The sequence below is a fragment of the Homo sapiens genome, chromosome 5 (genome assembly GCF_000001405.40).
Source record: "Homo sapiens chromosome 5, GRCh38.p14 Primary Assembly".
NCBI lineage: Eukaryota > Metazoa > Chordata > Mammalia > Primates > Hominidae > Homo > Homo sapiens.
Genome location: NC_000005.10, coordinates 73,237,819 through 73,252,738, shown reverse-complemented (window position 1 = coordinate 73,252,738; position 14,920 = coordinate 73,237,819). Strand labels below are relative to the sequence as shown.

Below are 14,920 nucleotides of genomic sequence, written 5' to 3'. Positions count from 1 at the left end.
ATGAGTAAGATGCAGCTCCTGGGCCCTGAGAGAGTTTGCCATCTCTCGGGAGAGAAAGACCAATGCAAACTCATGTCTAATCCAGGCTGTAGGAGCAATAGGAACAAACTGTTCTGAGCTTAGTAGAGATGGTGAGTTGTCTCCAGTGGGAAAAAGTGGAACTAGGGACATGAAAGGCAGGTGACTTTTGAGCTGAAGCTTGAAGAATGGCAGGTGGACAAACCCTGTAGGGGGAACAAACTGCAAGCAGAGGGAGTTCATGGTGTCACCAACAGACAGTATTTCAGAGTGGCTGTGTTTAGTGTTTGCGAAATGAGCCTTAAAGGCAGATTGGGATCAAATTCTGAAGACCTATGAAGGCAATATGGAGGGTTTTAGTCATGTGACAATGGGGGCCAACCACCAGAAGGTTGGTAAGTGAGACAATTGGATCTCTAACTTAGAGCAATAATCCTGACAGTAGCATGCAAGACAGGGATGCAGAATGGAGATGCGGGACACAGGGGTGAAGACTGGACCAGACATTTCATTCATTCATTCATTCAGCAAATACTTTTTAGGCACCTACTAATGACAGACAGTTGATGCTGAGCTGCAAGAGCGAACAGGACAAAGTCACTGCCCACATAGTTAGAAGGCAGTTGCAATAGACCAGGTGAGTGAGTAGGAAGCCTGAGCAGACCAGCAGCCGCAGGACAGGAGAGGAGAGGTGGAACAGGAGAGAGATCATGCAGGTCCAACCAACAGACATGGGGACAAATATCCAGATAAGACTAATACCTCAGGCAAAGAGGAAAATTGTATGGGACCGCAGGCACCAAAGGGGTGTGTATCGGAGAGACCACATGTGCCAACCACTCTGCCTTCTCTCACTTCTCTCAATCTCTTGGTGTCTCCAAGCTCCTTCCTGTGAAAGGGTCTTTGTGCATGTCATTTCTTCTATTTTTAAATTTGTTCATGATTGGCTCTTTCTCATCCTCGAGAGGCCTTTCTTGACCAACCCATCTAAGTAGGATTCTCATTGACCCCTACCATCACAAACTGTCCTGCTTATACTTTTCATAGTGTCCATTTGTGAGTGTACTCCCTTCCCACCAATATAAGTCCATGCAAGTAAGAGATATGCCATTAGCTCATTGCCGTATCCCTGGCACCTTGCACAGTATCTAGCCATAGCAGGCAGCCAGTAAATATGTATCGAATAAATAAAACTCTATTTCAGGCATCACTTGTCTAAAGCAGAGGAGGAGACTGCCCTGCTGGAGTGTGACATTCAAGACTTGGGCCCATGACTTGGCAGTGGCATGTTGAGGACGTTGAACCCTGATCTGGGCAGAACGTACTGATTGGCCCACAAGATTGCAGGTGAAAGAGACACATGGAAAATGCTAACAGAAAATGACAAATTGCGAGTTGGGCATTTATAAACCATAAAACATAAGGAAAAGTGTGCTGTATACTCATTTCCTCCATCCTGCCTATTCCTCCATGTATCCCTATGTTGCCCCATAGACCTCTGAAGTCTGGGTGACTTGGTAGTGATACCGAAGAGGTGGGGAACTATTTGGTAGCCTGTATTTGCCATTTGGTGTATGGAGTTGTCTTAGTCTGGAATCACTTGGGTTGTAAGTGAGAGAAACCCACCTAGAGAGCTGAATACAATGGATAACAAGCAATCTCACAGGCATCCAGGGCCAGAAAGCCAGTGACATCTGGCTACAGGGACCTGAACTGGGGCTCTTTCTCTGTTCTCCCATTTCTCTGCACAGAGCAGTTTCTCCTGCTTCCCGTGGTCTACCCCTCATGACTTCAACTTGCTTATGGACTGACTCCAACCCTGACTCTGTATGACCTTTATTTGGTCCATCACCATCCATCAGCCGGCTGACTCAGTCTCTCTTTCTCCAAACATAAATGCTCTGGGGAGGAAGATTAGCTCAGCTGGTCTATAAATGGGCTCCCCCCTGGGGCAGGTGTTTGTTCTTGGTCCAATCATCTCAGGCCAGATCTCTGAGTAAAAGAGGCAGCTGGGACTGGGGACAGGGAAGTTAAGGGAAGTAGACCAAATAAAACAAAATTCCCTTGAATGTAACTTTTGCACTACCCCACCGCTAGTTGTACAGTTTAAAGAGCCTCAATGATGTGAGAGGGAGAGAGTCAAAATAGCATTACCATCATTTAACAACAGTTTCTAATATTACCCAGACCTTAATAAGACCAATGAAGTCTTAGTTAAAAATAGTAACTAAAGTTTACTAAAGCAATATAATATTCTCTGTTATTTAAGCAAATCCCATTCAAACCTTCTAGAGCTTCTTTAAGATTATTTATCCTAAAATAGCTTTAAACTCCCTGAATGACTCAAATGGAACAGATCAAGTAGCATTTCATGTGCCTTAAATATGACATGAATTCTAAGTGATTCTTATGTTTAAGCTTTTTAAGTGAAATATATTGCATGTTATATGCGTTTGTTCAGTATGCATGTAGATCATACAGTTTTGTAGAGTTAACCAAAACTCTAATGATGAATTGTAGTCCAGAGTTTCTATAAGTCTGCTTCTTAAAAATTGCCTTGGAAAAGAATGGCTGAAGTCACCTATTAAATTAAATCATAAAGATACCACAGAGTTCAATTAAGATACAAAGTTTAGGGATATCATAATTTCTGCTCCCTTAACGATACACCCACAAGAAAAATAAAACATTACTGAGGTGGATAGTTTGTCTGGAAGACTAGAAGTTACAATGTTAATATAGTTTGCCTGACCCAAAGTGAAACCCGGTTCTCATGCACTTCCATGAGCATGAACGGTGATGGAATGTCCTGAACAGCAAATGGCACTCTCATCACTAATCAAGTCCTGGAATCTCACCATCAATAGCCATTCTACCATCTTGAAACAGATCCTACTAGTAACCCAATGCTCCTGGAAGAAGGAAGTAAATTAAGCAGAGAGAACAGCGTGGCTGGAGTTACACAGGAGGTTTGAATCTCAGCTTTGCTGATTGCTGGTTGTATTCTCGAATAAGCTACTTAACTCTAGTTTTCTTATTTGTAAAATGGGATAACAATATCCACCCCGTAGGTTTGTGGTGATTGAAAGGAATTTTATATATTAAAAAGCACCTGTACATAGTAGGCACTCAATAAATGGTAGTTATTACTACTATGAAAGAAAAAAACAAAGGTAGGTCCTTTAAGGTTCCAACACTATTTACATTAAAACCCTCTGGATTATGGTTTCTGTGTGGTTCCCAGGTGGCTATATGTCTGTGCCAAACCTCTTCTAATCCCAATCCATGTCCTGTAAGCACAGCACCTTCCCTCTTGCCTCCAAGAGTTCATTTATACCATGTGAGCCACTTGATCCAAATGCCTCTCTACCTGCCCACCTATCATCTTCTGAGACACAGCCCAAGCCACACATGCAGTGGTGGGCTAGGAAACCAGCTCCCCAGAACAAGCCCAGATCTGCAGAGTTTGCTGATTGCCATGATGTAAATATTCCCACCACGGCTGACTTCAAGCTACCAAAGATTTAACAATTGGCTAACAAAATTCCTGATTATTCTCCCTAAGTGTGAGAAGTCACTTAATGACTTCCTTCCAAAGAGTACAGTGTGGAAACACAGGGAATAAAAAGTAAATTTACAGTGAGGAAACCTAACAGATACTACCTCAGCCAGGTGATCAAGATTAACACCAACAGTGGTAAGTCATGTTGGTAGTGTGTATCCTAACATGATGAGATGACAATGGCACTTTACCTCTGAGGTCTTCCTCCCCAGAAACATATAACCCTAGTCTAACTGTATTAATCTGTTTTCACACTGCTATAAGGAACTGCCTGAGACTGGGTAATTTATAAAGGAAAGAAATTTAATTGATTCACAGTTCAGCATGGCTGCAGAAGCCTCAGGAAACACAATCATGGCAGAAGGCAAAGGAGAAGCAAGCCACCTTCTTCATAAGGCGCAGAAAGAAGTGCTGAGTGAAGGAGGAAGAGCCCCTTATAAAACCATCAAGTCACTGGGCGCAGCAGCTCAGGCCTGGAATCCCTACACTTTGGGAGGCCAAGGCGGATTGATCACCTGATGTCAGGAGTTCAAGACCAGCGTGGCCAACCTGGTGAAACTCCGTCTCTACTAAAAATACAAAATTTAGCTGTAGCAGGTGCCTGCAATCCCAGCTACTCAGGAGGCTGAGGCAGGAGAATCACTTAAACCCTGGAGGCAGAGGTTATAGTGAGCCAAGATCGCACCACTGCACTCCAACCTAGGTGACAGAGTGAGACTCCGTCTCAAAAAAAAGAAAAGAAAAGAGAAGAAAAGAAAAGACCATCAGATCTTGTGAGAGCTCACTATCGTGAGAAGAGCATGGGGGAACTGTCCCCATGATCCAATCACTTCCTATTGGATCCCTCCCACAACATGTGGGGATAATGGGGATTATAATTCAAGTTGAGATTTGGGTGGGGACACAACCAAACATATCACTAACCATGAGAAAAACATACAAATCTCAATTGAGGGGAATTCTACAAAATACTAACTAATATGCCTGGAAACTGTCAAGGTCATCAAAAACAATTTAAGTCTGAGAAACAGTCACAGCCAAGAGGAGCCGAAGGAGAAATGACAACTAAATGTAATGTGCTACCCTGGATGGAGTCCTGGAACAGAAAAAGGGCACTAGGAAAAACTAGGAAATAAAGTATACTGAATAAAATTTACTATGGACTTTAGTTAATAATAATGTTAATAATAATGTATCGTGGGTTCATTCATTGTAGCAAATATATCACACTAATGTGAGTTATTAATCATAAGGGAAACTGGATGCAAAGCATATGGGAACTACAGCCATTTTTCTGTAAATCTAAAACTGTTCTAAAATTTTAAATGTATGTTAAAAATATTCTGAATATGGCCGGGCACAGTGGCTCACTCCTGTAATCCCAGCACTTTGGGAGGCTGAGGCAGGTGGATCACGAGGTCAGAAGTTCGAGAACAGTCTGGCCAACATAGTGAAACCCCATCTCTACTAAAAATACCAAAAATTAGCCGGGTGTGGTGGTGTGCGCCTGTAATCCCAGCTACTCATGAGGCTGAGGCAGGAGAATCACGTGAACCCGGGAGGCGGAGGTTGCAGTGAGCTGAGATCGCGCTATTGGACTCCAGCCCAGGCGACAGTGTGAGACTCTGTCTCAAAAAAAAAAAAAAAAAAAAAAATATATATATATATATATATATATATATATAAATCTGTCCATCTCTCTGGGGTGCACGGCCCTGGAGAGCATAGTGCAAGCTCTCCTCACCCGTGCATCCCCAAAGCTCCTTACAACGCGGGCACAGAGTAAATGCCATAGTGTTGAACCCGTGCTCTGAACTAAAAGATACTGGGGAGTAATTCGCCAAGAACATTCAGCTTAACTCTCTTTTCTCCTCTTCCCGTCTGGTTTCTGGTCAAATACAGGAGATTCCAGCATAGGAACTTAGAGCATGGCTTCTAGCTGAAATGCCTAGTGCCTGGTGAAAGCCCTGCCTTGTTGCTTTCCAGCTCTGCAGTCCTGTGCTAGTTGTGTAATTTCCCTGGACCTCAGTCCCTTTATCTGTAAAATGGGAGTGATCATGCTATCTTCATCACAGGTTTTTGGGAAGACCAAATGAATGAATCCACATAAAGTTATTGGTGTAGTGTCTGGCCCATGGCACAGCCTCTGGGAGAGTTGGCTCTTACTATCCCATCCATTGTTCCTCACTTGAGCTGCAAGGGTTTCTCAAGTGAAGCACTGCATTGAGTTCTTGGCTCAGCTTCAGCGCACCTAAGATCTTCCTTACTCACCCTCTGGTATCCTGAATCCTCCTATTAAATCCATATATACATTCTGGCCATTCTCTTTTAGACATCTTTGAACCTGCAAACCGCTAACTTCTCTTTTATTTTAGCTTGAAATCACCACTAGGAATGAACTGGTGAGAACTGTCACACAAACATGCCTCCGTTTACTCAGGAACCCAAATATTTAGATTCTATAAGGAAGTGCAACTTTTTCTTTGCTCTCTCTCTCTTTAGCCACCTGGGAGGAGCTGGAGGACAAAGGACTTCACAGAAGAATGGAGTCCCAAAGAAACAGCTTCAGGAACTGAGGAGAGCCAGAAATTTAATGTATTTAGGGCTCCCTTGTGAAAACACAAAAACAAAAATAAAAATGCCTCCCGCTGCCTCGACATCTCTATTCCACTGATGCCCGACCATTCTTTTGAAAAACAAACGGAAAAAGTGAAGTGTTGATGACAGTCACTGGGGGGTTAGAGTAAGGCCCTGTTGTGGAAGAGGCCTGCTGTTTCACAAAAGACGAGCTTTGTCTTGACTGACATGTCCTTAAAAACAAAACCACAAGTAAACTCTGGGATGTGTGTGTGTGTGTGTGTGTGTGTGTGTGCGCGCGCGCGCACGCGCATGTGCATGCTGATACCCGCTAATGGGTGAATTGGGGGTGGGGCTCGGCACAGTCTGGATTTGATTTGCAGGATTATGAATTTTCTTGAATGTTTTGGGAAAAGTTTGAGGATTTGGTGGATATTTGAGAATTAGAAGTTTTATTTGAGGAGCATTTAAGTACTGAGTTGGTTATCTGGTAAACATCTAGACTCTGTCCTTAGCTACTTTCACGAGTCTCCTTTCTTTCCAGAAAGTTTGAAGTTCTTTAAAAGAAATATTTGTTCCTGAGATTCAAGGGTGGTGATGAGTGTGGTCTTAACTGTAAAGGAAAGAAAAAAGTGAAAAATCTCAAACATTGCTTGAAATTTTTACACTAGATAGTCATATATTCCACTCTGAAAATATAAGATTCTATATCTTGTATATACATTTAAAACATCATACTAATTTCTGGAGTACATGAGACAATGTTTTTTCTTGTAAAAAACTTTTAAAACTAATTTAATAGATATGATTTGTGTCTCATTTTAATCTTCTTTGATTACTAAGGAGGCTATACATTTTTCTATATTTCCTTTCCTATAAATTGTTTAGTCATGTTGTTTTTACATACATATTTTGGAATTTTAGGAGTTCTTCCTTAGCAACTTGTAAGTCCTGTTTTTTTAATTGCAGAATATTTCAGACATATGGAAAAGTAACAGATATATTTAAAGCTCCCTTTGTAACCTTCCCAGTTACCATTTCCTACCCTCTCCTCCAGAGGTAATTTACCACTTACAGTTGCTTTACATCTTTCCCTTCCACATTTTAATAGTTTTAGTCCTTGGTCATCTCTCTCTATATTTCTCTCTCTCTTTTTCTCACACACTCATAAACATACACACACATTCATTAGTTTTTAAACTTTATGTGACTGATAATATGCTAAACTTAGCATCCTGCAACTTGCTTTTTAAAAACTCATTTTGACAGATTTTAAGATCCATTTTATTCATTTCAATGGCTAAATAAATTCCGCTGTATGAATATAACATAAATTATTTTTCCACTCTGAGGGAATCCATTATGTAATTACATATATTCACTCTATTTCTGGTTGGTGTGTGTGTATATGTGCACACATACTATAAATATATTTCCCTATGTCTTCTTATTTTATTTTTGTACAGAAGTGTAAAGTTTTTTATAGAGTTAAGTCTGTTAATTGTTCTCTGTGATTTCTTCTGTTGCTTCAAAGCATATAATGTGTTTACTCCGCCAAAGAGCTAACAAATATTCATTCATATTTTCTTGTACTTTTTCTGAGATGCAAGAGTGGTGATGAGTGTTGGCACTTTGGGAGGCCGAGGCGGGCGGATCACTAGGTTAGGAGTTCAAGACCAGCCTGACCAACATGGTGAAACCCCATCTCTACTAAAGATACAAAATTTAGCTGGGCATGGTGGCACACGACTGTAATCCCAGCTACTCAGGAGGCTGAGGCAGGAGAATCGCTTGAACCGGGGAGGTGGAGGTTGCAGTGAGGTGAGATCGCGCCATTGCACTCCAGCCTGGACAACAGAGCAAGACTCCATCTCAAAATAAAAACAGAAAAGAGAACGACAAGTGAAAAATTTCAAACATCACTGAAAATTTTTACACTAGGTAGTCATACATTCCACTCCAAAAATGTCAGATTCTATATGTCATATACATATTTTAAAACGTCATAGTAATTTCTGGATTATATTGGACAATGCTTTTTCTTATAACTTTTTTTATTAACTTAATAGATGTGATTGAGATTTTTCTTTCTAAAGAATTAAACTTTTTAATTTAATTATTTAGCTACTCTTAAAATTGTGGGTTGGGTAGAAACACACACATAAATCCTCTTCCTCCATATGCTATCCTAACAGGGTTTATTCAATTATATATTCCTTGGTTATAATTTCTTTATCACAAATTACATTTTGCATTGTTATATATGATAAATTTATTTTTGGACTTTCTATTCTGTTTCATTGATATCTATGTTACTTCAGTATTTGGATCCTATTTTAATTATTGTTGTTTAGAAAACATTTTTAGAGCTGATAGTCCCCGTAATTTCTCTTATTCAAAATTTTATTTGATATTCATACTCACTTATATTTCTTATCAATGTTATTAAAGTTTTATAGCATTTCAGGGAAAATTGTGTTGAATTTTTCAATTGGGATTGTGTTAAAACTACACATTAATTTGGGGAGAGTTTACATTTGACTCTGTTTACCCTTCATGCCAAAACAGTTTCCAGTTGTCTTCTTTGTCTTTTCTTTATATACAGTCATCTACCAAAAAGGATGTTTTGATTGATTATTTGAAATATTTATTCATTTCATTTTTATTTCTTATCTTGTACTACCCAAAATTTCCAAAATAATATTAATGTTATTGAGGCCAACGTTGTTCTGGATTTTTCAAATGAATGCGACAAACGTATCTTTGTATAATTTTGGATACTGGCTTACGGAAGTATCCTTCTTTTTTTTTTTTTGTTTTGAGATGGAATCTTGCTCTGTCACCCAGGCTGGAGTGCAGTGGCATGATCTCGGCTCACCTGCAACCTCCGCCTCCCAGGTTCAAGCCATTCTCCTGCCTCAGCCTCCTGAGTAGCTGGGATTACAGGCAGGTGTCACCACACCTGGCTAATTTTTGTATTTTTAGTAGAAATGGGGTTTCACCATGTTGGCCAGGCTGGTCTCAAACTCCTGACCTCAGGTGATCCGCCTGCCTCGGTGTCCCAAAGTGCTGGGATTACAGGCGTGAGCCACTGCGCCCAGCCGGAAGTATCCTTGTTTTCTGTCATCCTATAATGTTTTTATTTGAGCATCTATGAAAATGATCATATTCTCTCTTAGTGACTCTTATTAATACACATTTACGTTACTGTATTTAATACATTTCTCTAAATTTTAAGACCCCTGAATTTTTAGATCAATATATTTTATGTAATTGTTCTTTGTATTCAATATATAATGTTCAATTCTGTTTCTCTGATTTTTGCATTTTTGAAATGCCTGTAGTTCTTGTTTATTTATATTGATTGGGTTTGGTATCAGAATAGTGTTTGCTTTATACAATAATCTGTGTAGCTTTGCAGGTGTGTAGAGGGACATCAGTCAGCGTGACAGCTGCAGCTTCCTTCTGCCGAAGTAACCTATCTTACTGGTGAGTTTGGGATAGAACAGGCCCTGCCTCCTTGCCTCCTCCTGGGAACCAGCCTGCCCACAGAGAACATGCTTTCTGAGCTATAACTCTCACCATACATTTCACAGGGGCAACCTCCATGTGGAGACACATGGTGATTCAGTGCTGCCTGGGAAGAGGGTGTGGGTAATTCAAACTCTAGGGTTTGGTGTTGAAAGATCTATGGTTGTCACTCATCTAAGCCACACCCTCAAATCCAGTATTTATTACTGATAAAGCTGTTCTTTTTATTTCCATCTATCTAATTTCCTTGCCTATCTCTTAATTAACTCTGACTTTCAGTGGAGGAAAAGGGGTGTTACATATTAGTCGTTCAAACTCCAATAGTCTAACATGTTTAAAAGGATTTCCAGAAAGAGAAAATAAAATGGATGAAGGAAAAGCAATATTCTAAAGATAATGTGGCGAAGGTTGCACAACTCTGTGAATATACTAAAACTTTAAATGGTTGAATACTTTCAATGGTTGAATTTTATGGAATGTAAAATACATCTCAATAAAGAGATTTTTAAAAATAGCTAGAAACTTTTCAGAGGTAATGCAAATTACTGATTTTTTCAGAAATTACAATATAAATCAAAATGAAGTCATCCCTAGGTGTATCATAGTGAAAGAGAAAAACCCTTGAGATACAGAAAAGATCTTAAAAGCTACCAGAAAGAAAGACAGATAATCTATTTTTAAGGGTGATTAGTTTAGCAGACTTCTCAGCAGCAAAATAGAAGCTAAAAGACAATGGAATCATATATGCAAAGTGCTGGCAACCAGAGCCCTACCACCAGCTAAACCATCAGGTCAAAAGTCAGGGTGAAATAAATATCTTCTCAAAGTTGGAGATAATTTATCATTATTTCACCTTCACTGAATAAATCCAAAGAAAGCAGAAAGGAGGAAATAAAACAAGAGGAGAAATAGATGAAAGAAATAGAAAGTCAAACTTAAAAAGAATTATCAAAGCTAAGAATAGGTTTTTAGAAAAAAAATAGTTTTAAGACTTAAGATTAACCTAAGAAGAAGAAAATGTACAAATACAGAAAAATTGTGAATTAAAAGGGGTATACATAAAGGTAAAGAAAATATTTTTAAATTGCATGATAATCTTTAACAAGTTTATGCCACTAAATTTGAAAGCTACAAGGAAAGGGTCATTAACCCCTGAAAAATATAAATTTTCCAAGCTATAGGTGAAACTAAATACCTGAATAGCTTATTAACTATTAAAAAACAATATCATTGGTTTAAAAACTTCCAATCATTCAAGGAACCGGTAACCCAACTATTACACAAACTGTTCCAAAAATAAGAGAAAATGTCCCGTTATTTTCTCTATGGACTCTTGAGCTCACTCTCACTTCTTGGCTATTTTAGCCCCCTCCTCACTATCACTCTTTCCAGTATTACTCCTCTCTTAATTCTCGGTGATTCCAACATACACTCAGCAACCCTTCCAGTAGCCTAAACCTTCAGTGCCTTAAGCTCCTCTCCTCCAATGATGTTATCTTCCACCCCATCTCAGCCACTCACTTCCATAACTGGCACCCTCCTCAACTTCAATTTCATGTATCCGCTCACTGACCACCACCTCCTCTTATCTTTCCAGCTCATTATTTCAGCACTCTGTATTTAATAAACCCTTTGACCTACCATTCCCTTCCATTCCCTTCCTCCTACCACCTTTTCAGCACCCATCATGCCCTGATGTTCTATCTTGACAGTGATCCCAGCTGAAAGTCCTCAGTACTCCTGCCCCTCTTTCCCTTAGTTATACTTACTCGGCCAAACTATGGTCCTATTTAATTCAACTTTCCATCTAACCTGAGCCTACAGAAGAAAAACATGCCATCAATCTAATGGACTCATCTTAAATTCAGAATCACAAACCTCAAGTGAGCCCTTAATGCTCTAACGGGCTCATTTTAAATTCAGGATCACAAACCTCAAGTGAGCCCTAATGCTCCCTGGCAGACGTACTGTATTTCCTAATCCATTTATCTCCTACTGTCCTACTTTTTATTTATTTTCACATTTTTGATACCGCTCCCCACATTCTCACTCATGGAAAACCTTGCTTCCCATCACACTGAGGAAACTGGAGCAATCAGAAGAGAATTTAATAAATTCCTACCACCACCTCTGCCCTCCTCCTAGCCGATGGGCCTCCATGTTGTCTTCTTAGCAGCTACTCCAAGTGAATGAGCCACTCATGCTCCCATCTGAACTCAATCTCCCCACTTTGGTGGAACTAGATATTATTTCCTATTACTTATGTGGAACTAGATATTATTTCCTTTTACCTATCTCAGGGCTAGTAAAGGACAGCTCTCCAGCAATTTCTCTCTCTGTCCCTCTGTCTCTCTCTCTCTCTGGTATCATTAACTTTCCCATTCTACTGGATGGGAAATTTCCAAATTTCCATTAGCACATAAACATATGGTTGTTTCTGCTATCTTAAAAAAAAATTTCTCCTGTCCCCATGTCTCCCACCAGCTCTACCAAATTTCTCTGCTCACCTTTGTGTGAAAAATCCTTCAAAGTGTGGTCTGCACTCACTTCAATCCTTTCCTCCCACTCTCTGTGAAATAAAGATTCCCATCAGGTGTTCATTCTACAACACCCCACTGAAATCCCCTCTTCTTCAAGTTTTCCACATTGCTAATTTCATGAACTTGTACCTGCTCTCTTAGCAGCATTTAAACATAGTCAACTATTCCCTTATCCTTGATACCCTTTCTTCACTTGGCTGCCAGGACACTGCACTCTCCTGGTTTCCTCTTACCTCACTATGCAGTCCTCAGTCTCCTTAGCTAGTTCGTCATCTCCTCCCTGACTTCTCAATGTTGGGGAGCCACCAGCACTCAGCTCTTCATCCTCTTCTCTATCCATACTCTTTCTTTTGTTGTTATCACTTAGTCACATGGCTTTACCTCTTACCAATATGCAACAATTGCCAAATTTCTTTCTTTTATTATTTTCTTTTTCTTTTTCTTTTTTTTTTAGACAGGATCTCATTCTGTCATCAAGCTAGAGTGCAGAGCAGCAATCTCGGCTCACTGCAGCATCAACCTCCTGGGCTCAAGTGATCGTCCCACCTCAGTCTCCCGGGTAGCTGGAATCACAGGTGCATGCCACCATGTCCAGCTAATTTTTGTATTTTTTGTAGAGATAGGGTTTCACCATGTTGCCCAGGCTGGTCTCGAACTCCTGAGCTCAAGCGATCTGCCCACCTCATTCTCCCAAAGTGCTGGGATTACAGGTATGAACCACCGTGCCTGGCCCAATTGCCAAATTTCTGTTTCCAGCCCGTACCTCTTTGCTGTGCCCCATACTCATGTATCCAACTGCCTGATAGAAATCTCCACTTGGATAGTCAGTTGCAACCTGAAACTTAACCTGTCCAAAACTGAAGTACTAATCTTTCCCCACATATGCCAACCTAGTTCTCCCCAGCCCAAATGATCACAGTGTATTTCTAGTAGCTCAACTCCAAAGCCTTATAATCTAAAGCTTTCTTTCTCCTATACTCCTCATCCAATCCATCAGGAAATTCTGTTGGCTTCATCTTCAAGGTATGTCTAAAATCTGACCACTTATCCTCACAGTTATGCCACTTATCAGCCTAATTGAAAACAAACTACTTAAATGAAGATGGCTTTGTAGTATAATTTATTTCTCTGGTCTTGTAAACCAGGAATAGAGGATCACCTCTCCAGGACAGCCTCAGGGAAAAAGCATCCCACTTCACTTCTGCCGCTAGCGCCCGGGACTAGGCTTCTATCTCTTCCCTGCAGTTCTGCAGTAGCCTTCCTGGCTGGTCTCCATTCTTACCCTTCTGCAATCAGAAGTCCTTCAAAAAGCTGGTTGTGTCATGCTTTTCCTCTACTGAAACCTTCACAGGCCCATGAGGCAGAAGGTGTATACCACCCACATTCCCTCTCCGAAGCACCCCCTCCATTTCATCTCTGACCTCATCTGTTACCTCCTCCATCACTTCGCTCCAGCCTTGCCAGCCTACCCACTGTGTCTTAGATAGCCAGAGTCTTTGCTGTGGCTGCCTCCTCTGCTTGAAGTTCTCTGCTCCAGACAACTGCCTGGGTAATGCCCTCAATCCAGATTGTTACCTAAATGTCATGTTCTCAAATAGGCCTTCTCTGTGAAAAAAATCTCAAGTAACCCCAGCACCACCACTGCCATACTCCTAATCACCAAACCCAACCTTCCATTTATTCACACACTATGCAATTCACCCATTTAAAGTATACAATCCAAGGGTATTTAGTATATTCACAGAGTTGTGCAACCATCACCACAATCAATTTTAGGACATTTTTGTCATCCCTAAAAGAAACCACATTGTTATCAATCCCCATTTCCCCAAATTCCTCCTCTCGGGCCCTAGGCAAACACCAATCTATTTTTCATGTCTATGGATTTGCCTGTTCTGTACATTTGATCTAAATGAAGTCGTATACTACGTGGCCCTTTGTGACTGGTTTCTTTCACTTAACATTATGTTTTCAAAGTTTATCAACGTAGCATGTATCTACATGTATCAGCAGTATGAATACATGCAGAATACAAGCAGGAATCACTACTTTATTTCTTTTTATGACTGAATGACATTTCATTGTATGGATTTGCCACATTTTTTTCTCCATTCACCAATAGAAATTTGGCTAAAAACCATTGGATTATATAATTTAAATGGGTGAATTGAAATGGAAACATTTGGGTTGTTTCCACTTTCTGACTATCATGAATAATACTACTATAAATATTTGTGTACAAGCTTTTTTGTGGACAGATGTTTTTATTTTTCTTGCATATATAGCTAGGAGTAGAATTACTAGGTCATATGGTTAACTCTATGTTTAACCTTTTTAGGAACTACCAGACTGTTTTCCAAAGTGGCTATACCATTTTGCATTTCCACCTGCAGTATATGAAGGTTCCAATCCCTTCATATCCCTGCCAACACTTGTTATTGATCTTTTTGATGCCTGCTTTAATTTACAATAGCACTTATTACTTTCCAACATGCTATAATATGTTTTTATTTCCTACCTTTTAAAATATTGTGTCTCTCTCTACTGCAATGTAAATTCAAGGAAGGCAGAAATTTTTGCTTTTTTAAATCTGTTTTGTTCACTCTTGAAAGTGCCTAGAACACTGGAAGCAGTCAATAAATATTTGTAGATTGATAAGCCCAGTTACTCAGATGGCTGAGCTGGGTGGATC

General features: G+C 40.0%; 2 long non-coding RNA genes across 2 annotated transcripts in view, besides 1 other annotated feature; one reads left to right on the top strand and one right to left on the bottom strand.

Annotated features, from left to right (window-relative positions):
* The window catches only part of LOC105379031 (uncharacterized), a 28,435-nt gene extending 22,190 nt beyond the window's left edge, over nucleotides 1-6,245 (top strand). The window contains exon 2 of the long non-coding RNA XR_948470.3: nucleotides 6,083-6,245. This is a non-coding gene — a long non-coding RNA (uncharacterized LOC105379031). The remainder of the gene's footprint in view (nucleotides 1-6,082) is intronic.
* The window catches only part of LOC124901002 (uncharacterized), a 76,128-nt gene that overhangs the window by 37,325 nt on the left and 23,883 nt on the right, over nucleotides 1-14,920 (bottom strand). The window lies entirely within an intron of this gene.
* Nucleotides 5,959-6,459: an enhancer, noted in NCBI's record as "OCT4-NANOG-H3K4me1 hESC enhancer chr5:72542107-72542607 (GRCh37/hg19 assembly coordinates)". NCBI's record gives its function as "activates a minimal SCP1, AML or CMV promoter by ChIP-STARR-seq in naive and primed H9 embryonic stem cells {active_cell/tissue: H9 hESC(naive and primed)}" and the evidence as "EXISTENCE:reporter gene assay evidence [ECO:0000049][PMID:30033119]".